Raw genomic sequence first — 24,301 nt, 5'->3', positions numbered from 1 at the left:
CAGGAACCAGGCTCTCTTGGGGCAAACTGGAACATTTAAACACCTCCATCTGAATCAACAACCAGTCATCAACTCTTGTATCATTTGTGACACCAAAGGATAAGTTCTCCTCACTATTCTCTAACTAAATGGAGGATACAACGAGTGTTAAAATACATGATATTCCTATATAAATGTAAGGGCAAATTTATTGTGATTGCTTCTTATAATTTCCTTCATTTCAAGCACAGTGAAGAAAAAATAGGCTATCGATCACAAAGGCAATCTTCTATTAATTTTGTGTAATTGGGCTTTGGGTAAAAACTCAGGCATTAGATAATTAGAAAAATGTTCAAAGTACAGGTATTCTGTGTTGTCAATTCTGGACTGTTTCTTTCTCTTTAAAAATCAGTTGGCGATAAAAAGAAAGAGGTTGATGTCTTCTAAAAATTAAGGTGCTCAACCAAAGCTTCTGTTTGTGTGTAGGCCAGTCCACCTTCATAGGTTGGTAGGAGTTATTCACACAGAATTATTATTTAGTTCAGTAAAGAGTTTTAAGTTAGCACCAACAGAAAATAAATGACTATTCAAGGCTCACAGTTCCAAAGCCAGAGTATGTTCACAATGATGATTACAGCCCATGCAATTTTAAAATAAGAATCACCAATCTCCCTTAGATTCATTATAGAAAAAGCTTATTGATGAACACACAAGACTATGTAATTTAGAGAGATATGGCTTTCCAGTAAATACTCTGAAATAATTGCATTGTAAAATATACTAAATGGCCCAGGCCTAGAGAGTTGGTAGCATAACTCAATGACATCTGCAAGGATATCTGACAGAAATAGTGATTTCAGATTTGAGTAATTGACCTCAGGCAATTCTTTCTGTTGGCCTTCTTTAGGGAATAGGGTAGAATTATTTGTTTAATTTCTGACAATAAAAATATATTATTAATATAAAGGAAACCAAATGTTTCTCTTCATATTATGGGATTATCAATTTTCATTATCCCCAAGTGGCTTCAAATTATTAAGAAATAGTTAAAATGAAGAGAGGCCTGAAAAATACCTATCTCCCTTTTCTCAAAATTATTAGCTGATCTGTCGGGGGATAGTTTCTGATTGTTTTTCTTAAGACCACATTAAGATTCACCCAAAACAAATGACCTCATCTAGATCAGCTGTCAGCTCTGCATTTACTTGCATTATCTCCAGAACACAAGCTGTTACTTGGTGTATTCACTCAAACAATGAATTATTTCAGGAAGGAAAGAAAATCAGTCAATCTGGTTAAGGAAAATGAATAATTGTTTGAAATGACCAGGAAACAGAGTGGTAACAAATAATCCAGAAGTTCCACGTGCAAAGGTCTTCTGTATTTAATAGCTCCATGAATAAAAGTGCCTCATTGCTATAAATACCAGGAAACAATGATTTAATATAGCTGCAATTCTGTTTGTAAATAGCCAGAAACTTGTTTTTGTAACATAAATATTTCACTTGAGTTTGAGAGGCCATACTTTTTTTTTACTTTTAAGGAATGTTTACCATTATACATTCTCATACCTCCACATCATATAAAACTGTGATGTTAGTGTGTGTATGTGGTTAGGAGAATGAGAGTAACATAGAACTTGGTGGAACCATCCCTAGAGGGTAGCATTCAGAAACTAGGCAAAATATGGGCCATAGTAAAAAAAAAAAAAAAACTGTCGGTTGTTACTCAATAAGAGGTGTAAAATCAATTTATAGAGTAAATATAACCATTTAAAAAAATTGAATACAGTAGAAAATATCCATTTCACATGTAGTAAGAACAGTAAAGGTAAGTGATTTTTTTTTCAGCTTATGTAAATGAATAGGTTATGGACACTGGTTATAACATCAAATATTATTCTTTCTGTGGGACACATTAATAAATGTTTGAGCTCCCTGATTTAGAGAAGCATATGTTCATATGATATGATAGATATAGAGATGAAGAGTGTGATAAAGTCTTTCCCCCTAAATCTTTTGTTATATGTGTGGTTCAGATAACCGTTAAAGTGACTTTTGCCAATAAAATCTCAAGTGCAAATAAAGAGTAAAATTCTAATAAGATATGATGTAATAGAAAGTGGGGGGTGTCACATTAGAGAAATAAGAAGTCTGGATGTGTGACACTATAGATGGATGAATGCTGATAGTAAATTGATTATGAATTGGTTCATTCTTCTCATTTATCAAAGATGTGATGCAGCTACTTACTGGAACTTACATGCTATATTAGTTTTCTAGGGCTGGAACTTACATGCTATATTAGTTTCCTAAGATTCCCAGTTTGTACCATAAACTGGGAGGCTTGAAGCAATGTAAAATAATTGCCCCACAGTTCTGGAGGCAAGAAGTCCAAAATCAAGTTGTGGGCAGGGAGGAGCTCCCTGTGAAACCTGCAGTGGAGAATCTCTTCTCTTGCAGCATCTGGGGTTTAGTGGCAATCCTTTGAGTTTCTTGGCTTGTAAATGCATTATTACAATCTCTGCCTTCATCTTCACCAGCCACTTTCCCTCTGCATGACTCTGTCTTCACATGGCATTCTCCTCTCTTATGAGCACATGAGTCATATTAGAGTCTATGCTACTCATATATGACCTCATCTTAGCTAATTATATCAGCAATGACCCTATTTCCAAATAGGTAAAATTCTGTGGTACTGAGGGACAGGGCTTCAACATATCTTTTAAGAGGACACAATTCAACCCATAATACATGTCAATACTAAAGATGTTGGGTCACTAGCAATTATCTGTTCCTCTTCCCTTCCTTTTTTCCTAGGAAACCCCAAATACTAGAACACAAGATAGCTGCTCTGATTTGCTCTCCCCCAAAATAAACTATTTTTAAATTAAATGGTCTGTTACTCTTAGATATAAATGGTTGTTGCTGATATTGACTATCAGGTTACCATTCATCCAGATGATCATTCTAACCACACTTCATCTGCTTACAAATGTTAACCTGGGAAGAGAAGCTGGGACTTACTCTGTGGCAGTATTCCTCAAGTATGGTCTGTGGGCCAGTGGTGGGACTGGTTCCCCTGGCCGCAAATTCTACTGATAGAAAATTAATTCCCCTGGTAGAATGTTAGATGATTTGTTTCTTCACAAGCTCCATGTTCTCTCTCCACTAGGTAATAGGAATGCGTGGAGACGTTATTCCACAGGAGCTCTTCTTTTACCTAAATGTGTTGCGGTGTTGTCGGTTCGATGTAAGAGGTAAAAGTTTCTTGGTTAGGCTTGAGTCTAAGCCATGTTTTCTAATCCAGTTTAACCAGATATTTACATTGGGATTTCAGGCATTTCCCCATATTAATAAGGCCCAGTTATCCAATGTTGATGTACATATCTTTTTTAGTAAGGGCAATAGAAGGGATTTTTATGTTAAACAGACAAAACATACTAGTATGTAGAATGCCCTGTAGCTCTTCTGTTCAGGACAGAAAATGTATTGGAGTCCGTTTTGCCATGGTCTTGCCTGACCAGGCTCATAGCCATTTGTGGGGACACAGCACCAGTTGATAGCACCTTCCAGAGAAGAAAATAGATGAGCAAATGCTGTTTCAGCACTAGGCTGAGTCAACTAGGCATATTCAACATGCACTATCTGCTATGAGCCTGTCTTCTTGCTTGGTCTATAACTATAAACTCTGTCTCTTACTTGGAAACCCTGCTGACCAGGCCTCTACCACTTCTTACTACAGCTTCTGCCCTTGTTCCCCAAGCACAGGCTGCATCTTCATCAATAGCTCATAGGTCTTCCCAGGACATGCCCTAGTGGCTTACAGGAAAGCATTATGTCATTTAGTAAGAAACTTTTAAAAATCAATTGATGTCTTTTAGTTAATTATATGACATGGGTGAATGGAGGAATAGTGGATACCACTATGAACCACCTCAGAATAAGCGCACAGAAAGATAAATACACACACACATATGTACATAAATATATATATATATATACACACACACACACACACACACACACACACGTATTGTATTAGGGTTCTCTAGAGGGACAGAACTAATGGAATATATATATATATATATATATATATATATTTATTAAGTATTAACTCACATGATCAAAAGGTCTCACAATAAACTGTCTCCAGGCTGTGGAGCAAGGAGAGGCAGTCTGAGTTCCAGAACTGAAGAACTTGGAGTCCAATGTTCGAGGGCAGGAAGCATCCATCACAGGAGAAAGATGTAGGCTGGGAAGCTAGGCCAGTCTCTCTTTTCACATTTTTTTGCCTGCTCATATTCTAGCTGTGCTGGCAGCTAATTAGATTGTGCCCACCCAGATTAAGGGTGGGTCTGCCTTTCTCAGCCCACTAACTCAAATGTTAATATCTTTTGGCAACACCCTCACAAACACACATAGGATCAATAGTTTGTATCCTTCAATCAATCAAGTTAACACTCAGTATTAACCATTTTATATATATATATATATAATTAGCATTCACCTCTTGGGCTCAAGTGATCTTCCCGCCTCAGCCTCCCAAGTAGCTGAGGACTACAGGTGCATGCCACTGCATGCAGCTAATTTTTTTTTTCTTTTTTTGTAGAGATAAGGTCTTTTTTTGTTCCAGATGCTGGTCTTAAACTCCTGGCTTCAAGCAATTCTCCCACTTGGCCTCCCAAAGTGCTAAAATTACAGGCATTAACCACCACGCCCAGCCCAGATTTTAATTTTTTTTTTGTTTGTCCTTTATTTGGGCATTAGCCAGTAGAAATCATTACAAATGAAAATATATAAAAAGTGATGACTGTGCCATGGTGACGCCTGAGACCTGCAGTGAGTTTATTTGTTAAAGCTCTTGTTGCATTATTGTTCACCCACCCAGTCAGAACAAAGCGTGGGGCTCTAATTAATAAGGTAACTTGTCACCATCAATGTTCATCTGTGGTGCTGAGATAAAGTGGCATTTAACCCTGCCTGTGTTCACTAGTGGCATTGCCAAGACTCTCCAGGATGTGGCCCAGAAATTTTTAACTGACAAAGTATTTTGAAATTTTATTTTGAAAGAAATAAAACTGACAGTATGCCAAAATAAATATAGCTGCTGTATAAATTGCAGGCATTCTGTGAAATGTATTCTAGGAAAAAGGGAAAACAAATAATGTTGTGTGTTAGAAATATTAAGTCAAGAATCAAATAAAAGGCAAGGGGAAAGTTTCAGAAAATGAAATGACCTCTCTCTATCTCTTCTCCACCCCATAAATATATGTAATGTCCTGCTATGAGTGTGTGTGTGTGTGTAACACAAAACTGGCTTTTTGCCCCCAATATCACAATACTCTCAGCCCTGCCTCATCCCCCAACTATTTCTGGTTTTATGTTACACAGGTAGTACCAAACAATTCTATTCCTACTGACATCATTGCTCATTATCCAGAATCATTTTAACCCTAAAAAGGAAAAGATATCCTTTATTGAATGCTGCTAAAGAATAATTTTTTAAAAATATAAATTATGACTCATGTAAATATAAAAAGAACATGTCAGAAATTGACACGTTAATGAGAAAACAAATAATCTCTAATATTTATATAGAGATTTATACTCTCTACTGAAAAGGAATCATTTGCATAGCAAAGAAGAGAAAATATCCCTATTACCATCAATTTTCTACAAGTTAATGTCTTTCTCTACAGAGTTGGATCATAGTCTAGCAAAGGCAAAAGTGCACATCTCTATAGGACAGATAAGTCCCAAGACTCTACTTCAGAGCATTCCAGTGAAAGAATGCCCAGTAGTCTCTTTTGCCTATTCCAAAGTCTTAAATATTTCCTACATATAATAATACACATAGATAGATTAGATACACAGATAGATGATAGATAGATAGATAGATAGATAGATAGATAGATAGATAGATTTTTTTGGGGGGGGGTGTTAGAGACTCTCTAACTTTAAAAAAGAGACGGTTGATGGAATTCCATCTTCAACTATTTATTAGAACAAACAGTTCTAATATTGGTGAAGTCAGGTCTCAAATAGCTGTGCAAACTCCAAGGACTCTATATACATCTCGTTCATGAATAAGGCTCAGAGCTCCCTTAAAGCGCCCTTCTCTGCCAACTTGAAAGGCAGTCAAAATCAGAGCTGCTTCTCATGGATTACTTTCCAATATTTTTACATCAGAAAAAGGGGTGACTTTTTAATTGCCTTGCTGACACCTAAGTCTCACTGGAGGAATTTAGGTATATATTTTTTAACAGGTTGCTCTGTTTTGCTTATAAATAGGTTGAATAATGAAAAATCCTAAATATTTTTGTAGGTTAGGCCTCAATGTTCACTACAAGATACATCCAATTCACCTGCTGTAACAATACATTTTAAACCAAAGCATGATATATGCTTTTTCTTCTTCTTTTTCCAAGGAAAAACCAAAGGCATTTTCATATCCCTTAGAAAGTTTGCCATTTTCTCATTCCTCTCACACATCTTAAATACTTGAGATAAGTGTGCCTTCAGTGAGCTGAGACAGTAGACAGTTTTGTTTTGGTTCAGTTGTATCCAAAATTATAGAATGTAACACTAGTTGTATATTTGGGAAGATAATAATTAGTCTAGGCAAAAGAAAGGATGAAGTTTAGAAACCCTAGTTGGTCCTGGAAATGAAACATATGGTAATGATCAGAAATTCATCTTAACCTTGAGCAACACTGAAAAGCACAAAGATATGGATCAACCACAGAAAGATCTAGTTCTGCCTGGCACTAGTTCATTTCTGATTATGCCTACATTCCAGATGGATGACAGTGACCACTAGACCTCTGTATCACTTTTAATAAACATCCACTCCATATTATCTTCAGGAGAAAAAATTGTTTGGATTCTCTCTTTTGCATGGGCTGCCTCCTAAATTCAAGTCAAGTCATTTTAGATGCTACATTAAAACAGCACAGTGGTACGATGTTTTACTGTCATGATTCCTTCTTATAAAATTACCTCTGTGTTACAAATTATCTCTGTGCTAAGGAACTCTACTTCTACAGTTTATTTAATTCAGCATTCTTCAAAAGCCATGAAATGAATTTTGACCCAAAGCAACAAAATACCCTGGAGATATGCTTATGAAATTTGTCCACATTCCAAGAAATGAGAAGTGATGTCTACAGAAGAGTGGTAAAGAGTATTTCATATGACAGTAAGAGTTCAGTTTTCCATCCAGTTGAAGGTAGAAAGAATTATACGGAATTTCAGCATCTTTTAAAAAAGGGGTTTATGAAACATTTCTTTTCATTGTCAGATTCTGGCTGCTTCTATAATGGAAGTAATCAGTATTATTTGTTAGAAAATTGCATTTGTGATGATAAATGTCTTTTCAGTTGCCTAAAATTTCTCTGCTTCTCTCTAATTACAAATCCATCTCAATTTATTGCTTCATGTGATTTAAAAAATATAATTAAGTGTGATGTTAATGTATCCTAGTTTGACTATCTTGTATTTGATCTATGGAATGTCATTTACTTTTCTGGAACTGGTTATAAATTAGGCATAAGCACATTTTTTCTGGAGTCACAGAAACTTTGAAACCCTCATATTTGATTAGTAGTAAGTGACAAGTCATATTTCACTAACTGTACTGACTATTAAAAGAAAAAGTCAATGAGTCTATTTCACGCTTTTATATGAACAGAGATTCTGTGAACTGGTCCAGAAATGTGATTATAATTTCCAGGCTACATTTCCATGTGAAGCAATAATGCAGATAGATGTGCACAGTCATACTCTTAACCTGGGCCCTCCCTATGTACAGAACACCTCTGTGAAACCCACATCGAGTGTCAATGAAAGTATTTGCAAGGGGTTCAGGTGCTAGTAAACCTAGAATTTGTTCTATCCCTTACAAAAATGCAGGAATTCTAGACCCCGTAGCACACACATACCACACATTGATAATATCACTCAGATAGCAGAAGTCAGAGAATGTGCAGAGCAGGAGAGGGAGGCTATTGCTCTTGTAACTGGTGGTTATGGCTTTCTTACTATACAGCATGTGTTGAAAGAGGACCAATATTCCTCATGTTCTTATATCAAAGAATGCTATAAAAGTTGAATTTAGGAAAGCCAGTTAAGCCCTCTACTGAAAGCATGTACTTTGAACAACGATAGAAGGTGAGAATTTTCTATAGAATAAACCTAATCAAAATGAAATATCCCTCTTGACACAAAGAAACATGAGAAATAGAATGTCTTGGGACAGGGACCAATGAATAATGAAGGCCATAAATAACATGGAAAGATGAGGACACATGAGAGAAGGTCAGAGGCATTTCTGCCAATCCTTGGGGAAGAGGGATGGAAAGTTGACATTAGAACCACATTATACAATGCATGTAATTTGCTGGATTAACTGTATGAAATATTGCATATAGCTCATACCATCAGAGGCATGAACTCTGCAAACCCTATTATTCTGGTTTTCAGTGGAAGATCCACAAGTGACTGCAGTCAAGGTTATAATTCCCAAGGCAAAGAGGGGATTTAGAGTATGTATACTCCCATGAGTAATTGGTAAAGTGATGGTCAACACAGAAGAATATTGGCACAGCTCATTCAAATAAATGTCATTATTTTGACTAATTATTTGACCATACCCAGTGGAAATAAAGATATGAAGAGAAGTTGTTATTATTTGGCTCTGTGTCCCCAGCCAAATCTCATCTGGAATTTTAATCCCCACATATCAAGACAGGCACCTGCTGGGAGGTGATTGGTTCATGGGGGCAGTTTTCCCCATGCTGTCCTTGTGATAGTGAGGGAGTTCTCACAAGAGCTGATGGTTTTAAGTGTGGCATTTCCTCACTATTTCACTCACTCTTTCACTCACTCTCTCCCGCCGCCATATAGGACATACCTTGCTTCTCCTTCACCTTCTGCCATGATTGTAAGTTTCCTGAGGTCTCCTGAGGTATGGAACTGTGAGTCAATTTTTTTGTTGTTGTTTATAAATTACGCAGTCTCAGGTAGTATCTTTATAGCAGTGTGAGAAAACAAAGATAGGAGGAACATTTTTTAAAATTTAGCAGGATGTGAGTACTAGTAATTCATTTTTATTAATAAGTGGTGAATTGATCCAGCTTGACTTATTACATCAACAACTTGTTCTTGGTACATCCAAGTGCAGGCTTTCACAAAAAATGTGAAATTAGGAGAGGGAAACAAACAAAATAAACAAGAATGTTTTCCTTTTCCCTCTATTCTTGGGAAAGCTCAAGGGAAAGCATTTCATGTTACACAAATGCTATGAAGTTATAGATCTTATACAGATGGTTCTTTCTGTTGAAACTAAAGAAATTGCATGCAGTCTTCAAAGATGCCTTCTGAAATACCTGTCTCTTTCTTGTACTTGTCTTGCATTGGGTACCTTTTTTATCTTGCAATTTTGTCTCCATTATTTGGGGAAATTTTTCATTCTAAAGTTATAACAAATGGGCCCACAAGGCGTAGTAGCAAGTGAGAGTCTTAGAGTTTATCTTTAGTGGACACTGATGATGCCCTTAACCAGCTCTGTGCATCTGTCTTCTACTTGCTTTGCTGCTATATGCTCCTGTGTCAGAGGATTACTCCGGAGAGAGGAAAGTGACTGGGCCAGTCACAGACTGACTTATGATGGAGCACAAAATGTTAGCTTCTTTGCCCCAAAGCAAAATCTAAATCTGAGGCTTCATTGCAAAATGTGCCCTTGCCTGCTTTCCTGCCTGTCCCTAGCCTGCTTCCCTACTCCTTTACTGGTTTTGCCTGAGAGCATTTCCATCTTAATCACTTGCACTCAGGTCCTTGGACCAGGATCTACTTCTGGGAGAACACTACCTAGGGCAGAGTTAGAAAACTCCAATTTGAAACCCAGTTAGACTTGCCAGCTGTGAAACCTTGAAGTCTTTCATTTAACTTCTAGACATATCAGTTTTTTTCTCTGTAAAAACTTCATCTCTTTTCTTTGTTTGCAGGACCATTGTGAAGAAGAAAGGAGCTGATGTATGTGAAATACTTAGCATAGGCCCTGTTGTGCAGCAGGCACTCAATAAACGTTAGTTGAATGTGAATATTTACTGGCATGTCTTGGCTTGTACTATTTAAAATCGACAGTATTATTTTTAGGGTTTTTTTCTTCACTTCTCACCAGCTGGCGTGCTAGATTCATATTTATTTCTCAGAATTTGTATGTCTTTTTCATGAGTTACTCAGTTCTTGTTCCCTTGTTTTCTCGTTGTGTTTAGCAGATTTGAATAGAAGGCAAGATTCTATAGTCGCAGTCCAGCAGCTTTGACCTCCACGTGGGGCTGGATTGTATAAATGGTTCTTATATAAATGGTTCTTATCACTCAACTCATGTAGAACTATAAGTTAAGAAATAAACTAAAGAAATCCAAAAGTTTATTTTGCCCCAACAAGATGATGGCTATCTGCCTATGTAAAGTATAAGGAAAATTTGAACAATTTGATCTCAGAAAGTGAGGACTCAGAAAAATGAAAGTGCTGAATTTCTCTTTAATTTTCTCTAATTCATCACCTTTATAGACCTGGTCTTTAAAAATTATTTGTACAATGCAGTCACCAATACCCTGAAACTATCTCTCATCTTTGTTCTGAAGAATGGAAAAAAAAAAAAAAACGCTCTCCCCTAATTCTGGGCTTAGCTTGTGTTATAAATCTGGAGCTCTGAGAGCTAAAATATACTCTGAACTTTTCTTCAGGGAACTTAAAGATCAATTTTCCACTTTTTAAGGAGATGCATCTAACAGAAAATATGGGTGTTTGGACAACCCTCAGTGATTTATGATCCTCTAGCCAGTTGCCCAGACTCATCTGCATAATTATCTTTCTCATTTTTCCTGGAATAGTTGGGGAGAAAAATCAAAAGAAATAATTATTTAATATTCTCAGATCATATCATTTGGAAGGGCTTAAGATACCCTAACAGCTTTCAAATGTCACAGTCCTTGAAATAATAATGTATTATGAGTATGGGTTTTCAGAATACGTAGAGCTTGATGGCATTGATTTTTCAATTTTGTTATAAACACTCTTCCCTTTATGAATGTTATTAGCATGCATTATTTAAATGTTATTTTTATTTACCTTCAGTTGTTGACAACATAAAAAGCAAAGGCTTATGAGCATAAGATTGCATTGAAATTGTTATACAAGCAGTAAGAAATAATGTTCCCCGTTGAAAAGGTAAAAAGCATGCATCTCAAAAACGATTATCCCAAGGCCAACTTACAATGGCTAAGTGGTCTTGCCTTCAGTGATGAGACACAGAACAAATTATATAAAACAAGCATTTGAGGATTGGCCATTATTTTCCTGACTTACCTCAATGTTGCACACAGCACACAATTGATGGAGAGTCAGATTTGATCATTTTTCTCTACTCTTCAGGCAAATTCCCAAATATCTTTATGGGCATAAGGTAGTCTTGCATGACTAAGATCTTCCTATCCAGTCCTCATCACCTTGGTCTTTAGCCATCTTAATCTTTTCCAAATCTCTTAAGGAGGCAGGAGAGCTGAGCAATGACATAAGGGGCTTGTGACATCGTCCAGAGTCAGGATGGACAGTGTGGAAGTAGAACGGCCTCATTTGGAGAAAACTACAGTTTCAAATCTTCAGGAAGCACTACAGAAATCTGTGGCCTCTTAGAAGAGCAATTGCATTTGCCATTTTGATGGGAATTGAGGTGACAGAATGCCACAGACTGGGTAATTTATAAACAATAGAAGTGAGACAGCCAGGTGAGAAGGGCTCCCTGGCAGAGCCTCTTACCAACCTGCTCACTGGGAAGAATTCACACTGGGGTGGAGCCACGGAAGTTCGCACCCTTTGCAGTGGGGAGGAGCCTGGCCCCTCCCCTTCTTCAGTGGAACCTGGGATTCAAACTGCGAGGCAGAAAGCACACTAGCAGGGAGTCTGGCTTTGCAGAGGGTCCCCGTTTCCCCTTTTTTCCCTTTTCACCCAATAAAACCCTGCTCTATTCACCCTTCAAATTGTCTGTAAGCCTAAATTTTCATGGCTTTGTGGCAAGGGCCCCCATCTTTAGCTGAACTAAGGAAAAGTCCTGGAACAGAGGTTTATTTGGTTCACTGTTCTAGAGGCTAGGAAGTCCAAGAGTTAGGGTCCACATCTGGTGAGGGCCTTCTGGTTGTGTCATAACATGGCGGAAGACATCACATGGTGAGAAAGCCCGCAAGAGAGAGGGATGGTAAGGGAGCCATACTAATTTTTTTATTGGGAACCCACTCCCTCAAAACTAACCTACTTCTGCGACAATAACATTAATTTATTCATGAGGGCAGAGCCCTCATCACCTAATCACCTCTTAAAAGGTCTCACCTCTTGGCCTTGTGGAGTGGCTCACGCCTGTAATCCCAACACTTTGGGAGGCCGAGGTAGGCGGATCATGAGGTCAAGATTTCGATACCAGCTCTGGCCAAAATGGCGAAACTGGGTCTCTACTAAAAATACAAAAATTAGCCTGGTGTGGTGGTGCATGTCTGTAATCCCAGCTACTTGGGAGGCTGAGGCAGGAGAATCGCTTGAACCTGGGAGGCAGAGGTTGCAGTGAGCTGAGATCGTGCCATTGCACTCCAGCCTGGGCAACAAGAAAAAGACTCCATCTCAAAAAGGAAAAAAAAAAAAGGTCTCACTTCTCAACATTTCCATTGGGGATGAAGTTTTCAACACATAATCTTTAGGGGACATTCAAGCTTTAGAAGGGCAGAAATCAAGTTGAGGTTGAGGAAGAAAAGGTGAAGAAAGAAGAGGGACTAAGTGGGAATAAAAGATGGGGGTAATTGGAAGGAAAGGAAGGAGAAGAGGAAAATAAAGGGGGTAGGAGAAGGAGGGGAAGAAAGAAAGGGAAGAAAAAGAAAAACAAGAAGAATAAGAGGACGAAAAGTGAAGAAAATGAGAGAAGAAAAGAGGAGTGGGGAAAGATAGAGGAATTGAAAGAAAAAGCAGGTAAAGAAGGGGAAGAAATAAAGTCAGGAGAATGCGTCTGCACTCAAGGTCCTGGCGTTTGGGGAATCTGAAATGGAATTCCAGGGAACCATAGGAAGCTCCTATCTGGACCTCCAGTGGCTAGCCCTACCTTGAAGGTGAACTCACGTTTCCTAGCCAGCCCTGAGAGGCAAATCACCCAACACACAACAGGTGCTAAATGAATGCTCATTGAATGCAATAAAATATATGTGTAAGAGAAATAAATTATACAAATTCACTGTAGACTAACATTCAACAAATATTCATGATAATTTCTTGTATGCCAGATACTGTTCTAGGGGTTGTTACACACTCTACCTCATTTAAACAGAGGTTTCTACTCACTTCACCCCACATACTTTGGGAGAAATGGTCAGAAGGAAGGATTCCCCACTGTCTTCCCCTCATTCTCTGGCTGGTGGCTATCCCCCAAATTGATTGACACAGGGACCTACTTTAATCTAGAAACTTTTACAACTCGTGGATTCTAAATTCTATGCACATCCTTTGTTATTTAAGGTAACTTAAGTTGCTGTAACAGATGACACAGTATAAGTCTATTATTTCTTCTTCATGCAACAGTCCAGGGCTAGCACTGGGTGGGCACCTTCCATTCGTGTGATTCATGAGCATTGGCTCATATCATTTTACAGCTCTACCATCTTCAGCACAATGTTTCAAGCACATTACGGAAGGGGAAAGGGAAGGTGGAAAAGGCACACCTGCGTCTTAGCAACAATGGTCTAGAAACTTGTGGATATCTTTGCAAATATCTTTCCTGCTCATATTTCACTGGCAAAAACAAGTTGCATGTCCATATGTAAAGCTGGTAGAAGGGTTAGATGTGAGACTTATTGGTGAGAAATGGCTATCAGTCCCATCCTAATAATTACTCTGCTCTGTCTGGGCATGAATCTTGGCAGAGAGCTGGCCACCTCTTCCACACACCCTCTTCAGTAAGGAAAGGCAGTGATTCTTAATCTGGGGTTCAGGCGCTACCAAAACATAAACATGGAAAGCTAATTTTACTTGAGGTATTATTTTCTATGAAAAGAAAGATATATTCTATAGTATAGTGTATAATTTGCATACATTTTTAAACTGAAACATGAGATTCCAAGAAAATAACATGTTTCAATTATCACTCAAACACACACAAACAAACACACACAGGCACACAAATATTCACACAGAGCATCAATCATCCTATGCTATAAGTGGAGAGTTTTGAGGAATTCTTAAATAATTGTTAAAAAACATAGGTCTTAAACCTTAGCAGTCTTTCCTTTTCTCCTTTTAAGTATTTGTTTACTTCATTTAATAATATAATTTTGCTGTGTTGCTGGATTCGGTTTGCCAGTATTTTATTGAGGATTTTTGCATCGATGTTCATCAGGGATCTTGGTCTAAAATTCTCTTTTTTTGTTGTGTCTCTGCCAGGCTTTGGTATCAGGATGATGCTGGCCTCATAAAATGAGTTAGGGAGGATTCCCTCTTTTTCTATTGATTGGAATAGTTTCGGAAGGAATGGTACCAGTTCCTCCTTGTACCTCTGGTAGAATTCGGCTGTGAATCCAACTGGTCCTGGACTTTTTTTGGTTGGTAAGCTATTAATTATTGCCTCAATTTCAGAGCCTGTTATTTGTCTATTCAGAGATTCAACTTCTTCCTGGTTTAGTCTTGGGAGGGTGTATGTGTCGAGGAATTTATCCATTTCTTCTAGATTTTCTAGTTTATTTGCGTAGAGGTGTTTATAGTATTCTCTGATGGTCGTTTGTATTTCTGTGGGATCGGTGGTGATATCCCCTTTGTCATTTTTTATTGCGTCTATTTGATTCTTCTCTCTTTTCTTCTTTATTAGTCTTGCTAGCGGTCTATCTATTTTGTTGATCTTTTCAAAAAACCAGCTCCTGGATTCATTGATTTTTTGAAGGGTTTTTTGTGTCTCTATTTCCTTCAGTTCTGCTCTGATCTTAGTTATTTCTTGCCTTCTGCTAGCTTTTGAATGTGTTTGCTGTTGCTTCTCTAGTTCTTTTAATTGTGATGTTAGGGTGTCAATTTTGGATCTTTCCTGCTTTCTCTTGTGGGCATTTAGTGCTATAAATTTCCCTCTACACACTGCTTTGAATGTGTCCCAGAGATTCTGGTATGTTGTGTCTTTGTTCTCATTGGTTTCAAAGAACATCTTTATTTCTGCCTTCATTTTGTTATGTCCCCAGTAGTCATTCAGGAGCAGATTGTTCAGTTTCCATGTAGTTGAGCAGTTTTGAGTGAGTTTCTTAATCCTGAGTTCTAGTTTGATTGCACTGTGGTCTGAAAGACAGTTTGTTATAATTTCTGTTCTTTTACATTTGCCGAGGAGTGCTTTACTTCCAAGTATGTGGTCAATTTTGGAATAGGTGTGGTGTGGTGCTGAAAAGAATGTATATTCTGTTGATTTGGGGTGGAGAGTTCTGTAGATGTCTATTAGGTCCGCTTGGTGCAGAGCTGAGTTCAATTCCTGGATATCCTTGTTAACTTTCTGTCTTGTTGATCTGTCTAATGTTGACAGTGGGGTGTTAAAGTCTCCCATTATTATTGTGTGGGAGTCTAACTCTCTTTGTAGGTCACTAAGGACAGCTTATCCACCATGATCAAGTGGGCTTCATCACTGGGATGCAAGGCTGGTTCAACATACAAAAATCAATAAATGTAATCCAGCATATAAACAGAACCAAAGACAAAAACCACATGATTACCTCAATAGATGCAGAAAAGGCCTTTGACAAAATTCAACAACCCTTCATGCTAAAAACTCTCAATAAATTCGGTATTCATGGGATGTATCTCAAAATAATAAGAGCTATCTATGACAAACCCACAGCCAATATCATACTGAATGGACAAAAACTGGAAGCATTACCTTTGAAAACTGGCACAAGACAGGGATGCCCTCTCTCACCACTCCTATTCAACATAGTGTTGGAAGTTCTGGCCAGGGCAATCAGGCAGGAGAAGGAAATAAAGGGTATTCAATTAGGGAAAGAGGAAGTCAAATTGTCCCTGTTTGCAGATGACATGATTGTATATCTAGAAAACCCCACTGTCTCAGCCCAAAATCTCCTTAAGCTGATAAGCAACTTCAGCAAAGTCTCAGGATATAAAATCAGTGTGCAAAAATCACAAGCATTCTTATACACAAATAACAGACAAACAGAGAGCCAAATCATGAGTGAACTCCCATTCACAATTGCTTCAAGGAGAATAAAATACCTAGGAATCCACCTTACAAGGGATGTGAAGGACCTCTTCAAGGAGAACTACAAACCACTGCTCAACGAAATAAAAGAGGATACAAACAAATGGAAGAACATTCCATGCTCATGGATAGGAAGAATCAATATCGTGAAAATGGCCATACTGCCCAAGGTAATTTATAGATTCAATGCCATCCCCATCAAGCTACCAATGACTTTCTTCGCAGAATTGGAAAAAACTACTTTAAAGTTCATATGGAACCAAAAAAGAGCCCGCATTCCCAAGTCAATCCTAAGCCAAAAGAACAAAGCTGGAGGCATCACACTACCTGACTTCAAACTATACTACAAGGCTACAGTAACCAAAACAGCATTGTACTGGTACCAAAACAAAGATATAGACCAATGGGACAGAACAGAGCCCTCAGAAATAATGCTGCATATCTACAACCATCTGATCTTTGACAAACCTGACAAAAACAAGAAATGGGGAAAGGATTCCCTATTTAATAAATGGTGCTGGGAAAACTGGCTAGCCATAGGTAGAAAGCTGAAACTGGATCTCTTTCTTACACCTTATACAAAAATTAATTCAAGATGGATTAAAGACTTGCATGTTAGACCTAGAACCATAAAAACCCTAGAAGAAAACCTAGGCAATATCATTCAGGGCATAGGCATGGGCAAGGACTTCATGTCTAAAACACCAAAAGCAATGGCAACAAAAGACAAAATTGACAAATGGGACCTAATCAAATTAAATAGCTTCTGCACAGCAAAAGAAACTACCATCAGGGTGAACAGGCAAACTACAGAATGGGAGAAAATTTTTGCAACCTACTCATCTGACAAAGGACTAATATCCAGAATCTACAATGAACTCAAACAAATTTACAAGAACAATACAAACAATCCCATCAAAAAGTGGGCAAAGGATATGAACAGACACTTCTCAAAAGAAGACATTTATGCAGCCAAAAACCACATGAAAAAATGCTCACGATCACTGGCCATCAGAGAAATGCAAATCAAAACCACAATGAGATACCATCTCACACCAGTTAGAATGGCAATCATTCAAAAGTCAGGAAACAACAGGTGCTGGAGAGGATGTGGAGAAATGGGAACACTTTTACACAGTTGGTGGGACTGTAAACTAGTTCAACCATTGTGGAAGTCAGTGTGGCGATTCCTCAGGGATCTAGAACTAGAAATACCATTTGACCCAGCCATCCCATTACTGGGTATATACCCAAAGGATTATAAAACATGCTGCTATAAAGACACATGCACACGTATGTTTATTGTGGCACTACGCACAATAGCAAAGACTTGGAACCAACCCAAATGTCCAACAATGATAGACTGGATTAAGAAAATGTGGCACATATACACCATGGAATACTATGCAGCCATAAAAAATGATGAGTTCATGTCCTTTGTAGGGATTTGGATGAAACTGGAAACCATCATTCTCAGCAAACTATTGCAAGGACAAAAAACCAAGCACTGCATGTTCTCACTCATAGATGGGAATTGAACAATGAGAACACATGGACACAGGAAGGGGAACATCACACACCGGGGACTGTTGTGGGGTGGGGGGAGGGGGGAGGGAGAGCATTAGGAGATATACCTAATATAAATGTCAAGTTAATGGGTGCAGCACACCAACATGGCACATGTATACATACGTAACCTGCACGTTGTGCACATGTACCCTAAAACTTACAGTATAATAATAAAATTAAAAAAATAATAAGAATAATATAATTTTGCCATGGATTTTAGAACTGAAAGATTCCCTGACCCCTTTTCTCTTCCCCTATCAAAGAGATAGTTCAAACTTTAGAGACCACAGTAGAAGTTCAATGCTTTATTTGCCCCAACTTAGGTGAATTACTGAAATAAGACACAGGAACAAGCTTCACCAAACTTCCTTCTCCATTGCCAGAGGTTCCTTTTTATATGGAAGGTGATTTTCTTCTCCTCTCTAAAAGTGCACAAATGTCATAGAGAGAGGAATAAATTAGCAACACAAAATCTCATGGTGTTGCATGAAATTAATTTTTAATCCAGATTAATGTCCAATGCAGAGGTAGAAGAGGAAACGAAAGTTGATGGGGGCAGATAAAGTATAAAAGAATAAGACTTTGGAGGTGACAAGGATGAAGCTTGGGGTGGCCCCCATGTGGAGGATAGGCAACTTCTCTGGCAGAGGTCACACAGACAGGTGGGGACCGAGGACCCCACTGAGCCTCCTTTTTCTTCTCCCCAGCTGCATACAAGTGTGGTATTGCAGCCTCTAGCCTCAAGAGAGTATGTTGAATTCCTCCCTCACAAGTGAATTTACTCACCTGTAAAACTTAGATTGGGCAACACCAGCCCTGAAAACATAATTTTCTCAAGATAGATAGAAAAATATTTTTCAAAGCTGGCCTAATTCATCTTTCCATATCACAAGAGAAGGCGTTCATAATAATCTGTAGTATAAAGCAGCAATACAGTGTGAAAATGCTCCCACCTTACAGAAAACATATAAAAAGCTTTCTGGTTTTATAGCCTGGGAAGCCTGCTCACAAATGGCACATTAATCTTGAATTGGTTGTTGGCTTGGATTATATGTTTACTTTTGTGAAATGTCATTTTCCCCAGGCACCAGATAAGTTATCAGTTCCAAAACTGCAACTGTGCCCATACTGATAGCGCATGGCAGGAGAATTTTGAGTTACCACATCCGTAAAATTGCCACAATTCTTTCATATTACTCAGGGGGTAATTTTACTCAAGTAGATTATCTGTCATTAATCTTCCTGCTCTAGGAGTGTACTGTATTGTGATTCAAATGTTATAATGAGCCTTTTCTAAGGAGAAAACTGCTTCTCTTTACATATTTCAACCTTATCATCTCATCTGAAGGGTAATTTAGTTTCCTGCCTGTCTAAAGTGATCCATCAGATTATGAACTGTTGACATTCTGTGCTGTCAAGTTATTCAAACCAAGCTAAGAATGAGGTCAGCTTACCAATGTGGAAGCATCAATTGACTGCTTGACAATTCTCCTCAATAAGCCCCCAAATGATCAATGTACTTTCCCACTGAGAAAATCTATAAAAATATCTTGTCGGTTGTATGGATCTGTTGTGGCCATACGGGCATGCGGGTGGGATGGAGAGCGTTAATTTTGCACTTGAAATTCCTCACAGTCTACTGCACAGATTGTAGGCAACCATCCAGGATCCTACAAGCAACTGTGCGCCTAAATTCCCATAAGATCTATAAGCCTACCAAAGATGGTTTTTCCAAAGTTGTCTCTCATACTTTTCTATTGCCACTTTGTCCTTGTGTCCCTCAACATTCTTGACTAAGAAAATAAGTATTTATGGCTGAAGCAATAAGGACATGTAGCCTCATAACAACACAGAAAAGAAGTCAGAGACAGATAAGAGAATATTTTAGGTCTGCTCAATAAGAATGTCCTATGCAAATTCTCTTACCTTCAAATTTCAGGATGAAGAGGGACTTCAAGAGTCATATGATCTGCCTGAAAAACAATACCCAAATCTTCTCAGTAATTCCAGCCTACTAGGTGTGCCTGGCCTTGAATCACTCAAGGGCTCACTTTCACCAAAGACATTCCACTCTTGAGTCTTTTCTTGCTGTTAGGAGACAATTTTTCCTGGAACCCAGGTGTTCTAGGCATCACCAGCCTCCTGAGAGTGCAACAGCCATCATATCAATTTAAAAAACTGTTCCGAGGACTCTCCATTGCTCTTTAGTTAGAAATACTCCAACCCAGAGAGGAAGGGTGACCTTCCCAAATATTTCTGAGAATCCTCCAAAGTACTTGCACCTATAATCCACATGTTTCTTAGGTCCCAGGAACTATGGATCCTAGATAAGGCCACTTTCCATTTAGACATCCTCAGGTCAGTGGGTTGAAGAGCCAATGATGTCACGCTTATGCACCAAACTACTACAGAACCATCCTTCACATCACTACACTCTCATTCTCTGTGTCTGGTAAGGAGAAGCATGACTTTGTGTCTCATGAGTACCTCTTTCAGAGGAAGTTCCCCTTGCAAAACCATTGAGATCTTAGTGACACAGTTCTTTATTTTATCCCACAGCTCTTTCCTGTCCATGACCTGCAAGTACCCCAAGGACTGGAGGGCTGGATGTGGTTTTGAAGAACATCAGGCACTGTTTAAAAAACCAACAAGAATTTGTTTCTAGCATAACTACAAGGGGCATCCATGCAGACTGTGGAAGGGCTGTTGATGGACGCCAGGGAATGGAATGCCTGTGTAGCACATGTTACATCGCCCTGCTACTTATCCAGGATGTGTCAGGAAAATGTTTGCACAAAGTTGCATAGTGTGAAAGCTGAAGCTGCTGATTGGCAAAGAAGCTGAGTCACCGAAGGAGGATAATCCCAGGCAGTACAGAATGAGCTCAGCTGAGGTTGTGCAATGGGTTGTGAATGACGATGAAGTTGTGGATCACCTCTGGTTCTGAGACACTCTGTTCTTGGTGTTCAGTTGGACAAAACCCAAACTCTTTTCCTCCAGGTAGCTCACATCACAAAGGGACAGTGTGGGCCTGGAGAAGCTAACTCTGAGAGGCTCCCTTCCATGAGGAAGACAACTCATGGTGGTAGTGGGTCCCTCAAAGAGATCACAAGAGACTTCCCCAGTAACTTTCTTCCTAAGCATATTTGAAAATACTTGCATTTGGAAGAGCAAATGCAAGTACACAGATTTTTGTTGTTCCGTGTGTAGTAAGTACATTTCACCCTGTACCTGTAACCAGAGCACTTTCAGATTCTAGGCCCTGAAGCTCATTTTGCCCACACTGATGGGTGCCTCTGTGTGTGTGGGTGTGCATGTGTGTGTGTGTGCCCCTGTGTGTGTTTTCTGCTCAGTTTTCCTTCTAGTAAAGAATTTCAAGACCCTTCCACATTCTGACCTCTCTGCAAACCTTTCTCTGTTTTAGCCAATTTCTCATTCTGACTTTTTAAGAATCTCTGTGTGACTATTTAAGAGAATATGAATTAGGCAAGCGAAGTTTTCTTCTTGCTTTTAAGATTCTCTTATTTTAATACCTAATCAATCAATAAGTGTTTGTCTGGCACTGACTTGCTTGTGATAAACTTTATAGGCAACACGAAGAAATATAGATGTGGTTCCTGTGCTTAAGAAACCTACATGCTACTTACAATAAATGTTTAGAACCAATATAACGAAATACATGACAAGGTGTCTAGGACTTCTTAGAAATGATGCCTCAGAAAAGATTGGGCACTTTCAGGGTGGTATGCTGCAGACAAAAAAGATACTTGCACACGTATGTTTATAGTAGAACAATTTGCAATTGCAAAAATACAGAACCAGCCCAAATGCCCATCAATCAACAAGTGGATTAAAAAACTGTGAGAGAGAGATATATATATATGCATATATATATACACATATACATATATATTCAAATACATATATATACGTGTATATACACACACATATACATATATATACACACACATATACATATATATATATACACACACACACACACACATATATATATATATATATATATATATATATATATATATATATATGCCATGGAATACTACTCAACCATAAAAAGGAATGAAATAACGGCATTTGCAGCAACCTGGATGGGGTTGGACACTATTATGCTAAGTGAAGTAACTCAGGAATGGAAAACCAAACATCATATGTTCTCACTCATAAGTGGGAACTAAGCTATGAGGATGTAAAGACATAAGAAGGATACAATGAACTTTGAGAACTCGGGGGTTGTGCAAGGAAGGATGGAAGGGGAGTGGGGGAAAAAATACTACAAACTGGGTACAATGTACACTGCTCAGGTGATGGATGCACCAAAATATCAGAAATTACCACAAAAGAACTTATTTGTGTAACCAAACACCACCTGCTCACCAAAAACCTATGGGAAAAAAAAAGAAATGATGCCTCAAAGAGGGTTTCAAAAAAGGTGGAGTTTACCATGGTCTTTTGGAGCAATCAAAAACATTTCAAAAAAGAAGTAAGACTTGAGTTCAAACAGAAAAGTTGGCTGTGAGTTTGACCAATCATGTAGAGGAATACAACTTGAAGAACCAATTAATTTTGGAAATTGGGGAACTTAAGATGTTATCCAAGTCAATCATGTGTAAGGCAATGAGTACCTGATCCAGCATGGTAGCAAAAGGCAGAGTGGATGAACAGATCCTGGGTCTGTTCCCCTCAGACTTACACCTTGCCCTTCCTCCATCCTGCTCTCTCACTTTGTTTCACAGGCCCTTGTGTCATTGGCTTCGGTAACCCCAACTCCTTCCTCTGTCCCCAGCCCAACCTTGAGTATGGTTGGTAGAAGCTTCTTATTGTTGCTAATCTCTAAGTGGTCTCACTGATCCCTATGTAACTTCATAGCTTAATCACTGGTGATATCAATTCACTCTGTTAAATTTTAAACATTTACATTATTTTCTTTTCTGGTTGGATCCAATCTTACGTAGATCATCCAAGATTATTCTCAATAGATGGATAGAAAACTTCATGAGGAAGAGTTAATAGAACTTGCTATTTGATTTTACATAGCAGTTGGAGACAATAACTAATAATATATGACTCCTTATCTTTGTAATCAGTTTTTCTGTGCCAGAAAACTAATTCAGAAGATAGAGCAGTAAGTGAGAAATGAATACTTTTGTACACTTTTCACCAAGAAGGTGGTGTGGTATTGGGCAAGTCACTATCATAGGCCATCCAACCAAATCTTCAAGCAGATTGATTTTCTGGAATATCATAGTTGATGAGACTATAAATGATTTAAGTAATGTAAGAAAAATATCGGGGTTTCAAAGATTAAGACTAACAAAACCAAAAGAATGAGAATGAAGAGATAGGGAATAAGAAACAAAGGAGAAAAAGAAGAAACTTGGAAGTGCTGAAAATGGTTATATCTAGACCAGAGTTTGCCCAACCATGGCCAGCAGGCCAAATGTGACGGATATTTGATTCTGTTAATAAAGTTTAATTGGAACAAAGCCACGTTCATTTGTGTATGCATTGTCTATGCCTGTTTTTGAGCTATGGTAACCAGATCTCATAAGAACTCACTCACTGTCACAAGAACAGTACCAAGGGGATGGTACTAAATCATTCCTGAGAAGTCTGCTCCCATGATCCAATCGGCTCCCACCAGTCCCCACCTCCATCATTGGGGATTACATTTCAACCTGAAATTTGGACAGGGACACATATCCAAATTATGTCACTTATCATGGTCTTTTTTTTCTTTTCATTTTTATTTTTTGAAACTGAGTCTCATTCACTCTGCCTTCCAGAGTGCTTGGATTATAGACGTGAGCCAGTGCTCCTGGTGACTTATCGCAGTCTTGAAGCCCTTGACTACGTCTTTCAGATCCTCATAGCGGCCATGTGCTGATATTCAGATCTCAGCACAGATGTCTTCTACTCAAAGAAACCATCCCTAATAATCCCAGCTAAAGTACCATCCTCCCTACTCATTCTGCATTAATCCTCCCTACTCATTCTGCATTAATTCACCCTGTTTTATTTTCTTCATTGCTCTCTTGGCTATCTAAAATTATCTTGTTTATTTGTGTACTTCCTCTCACCAAAACAGAGACCTTGTCTCTCAAGTTTATGGTTGCAATCTCAATGTCTAAAACAATTCCTAGCCCTCAAGTTCTCTACATGAGTTTGTTAAATAAATGAATTAGTGATTGAATGACTAATTTATTTGAATATTGCTTCAGTCAGATTCATACTCTTGGAGGCCAAAGATCATACAATTATTATATCCTTAGCACATTATATCATAAAAGATGGTGTTTCATTCTAGAAATATGCAAACTATAATTGAATTAGCTTAAACACTAAGGCATTCTTATGAGATGACAGATATTGATAATACTGATCTTTACAGGTTTTGAACATTTCAGGTGATGGTTACGGTTCCAACTTGCCGAAATGGATAATTATTTTTGCCTTC

General features: G+C 38.3%; 1 annotated feature.

The window, feature by feature from the left end:
• Positions 8,454-9,015: an enhancer, noted in NCBI's record as "NANOG hESC enhancer chr10:91951269-91951830 (GRCh37/hg19 assembly coordinates)". NCBI's record gives its function as "activates a minimal SCP1, AML or CMV promoter by ChIP-STARR-seq in primed H9 embryonic stem cells {active_cell/tissue: H9 hESC(primed)}" and the evidence as "EXISTENCE:reporter gene assay evidence [ECO:0000049][PMID:30033119]".

The sequence above is a fragment of the Homo sapiens genome, chromosome 10 (assembly GCF_000001405.40).
Source record: "Homo sapiens chromosome 10, GRCh38.p14 Primary Assembly".
NCBI classification, from domain to species: domain Eukaryota; kingdom Metazoa; phylum Chordata; class Mammalia; order Primates; family Hominidae; genus Homo; species Homo sapiens.
This window is presented reverse-complemented; position numbering and strand designations above follow the sequence as displayed.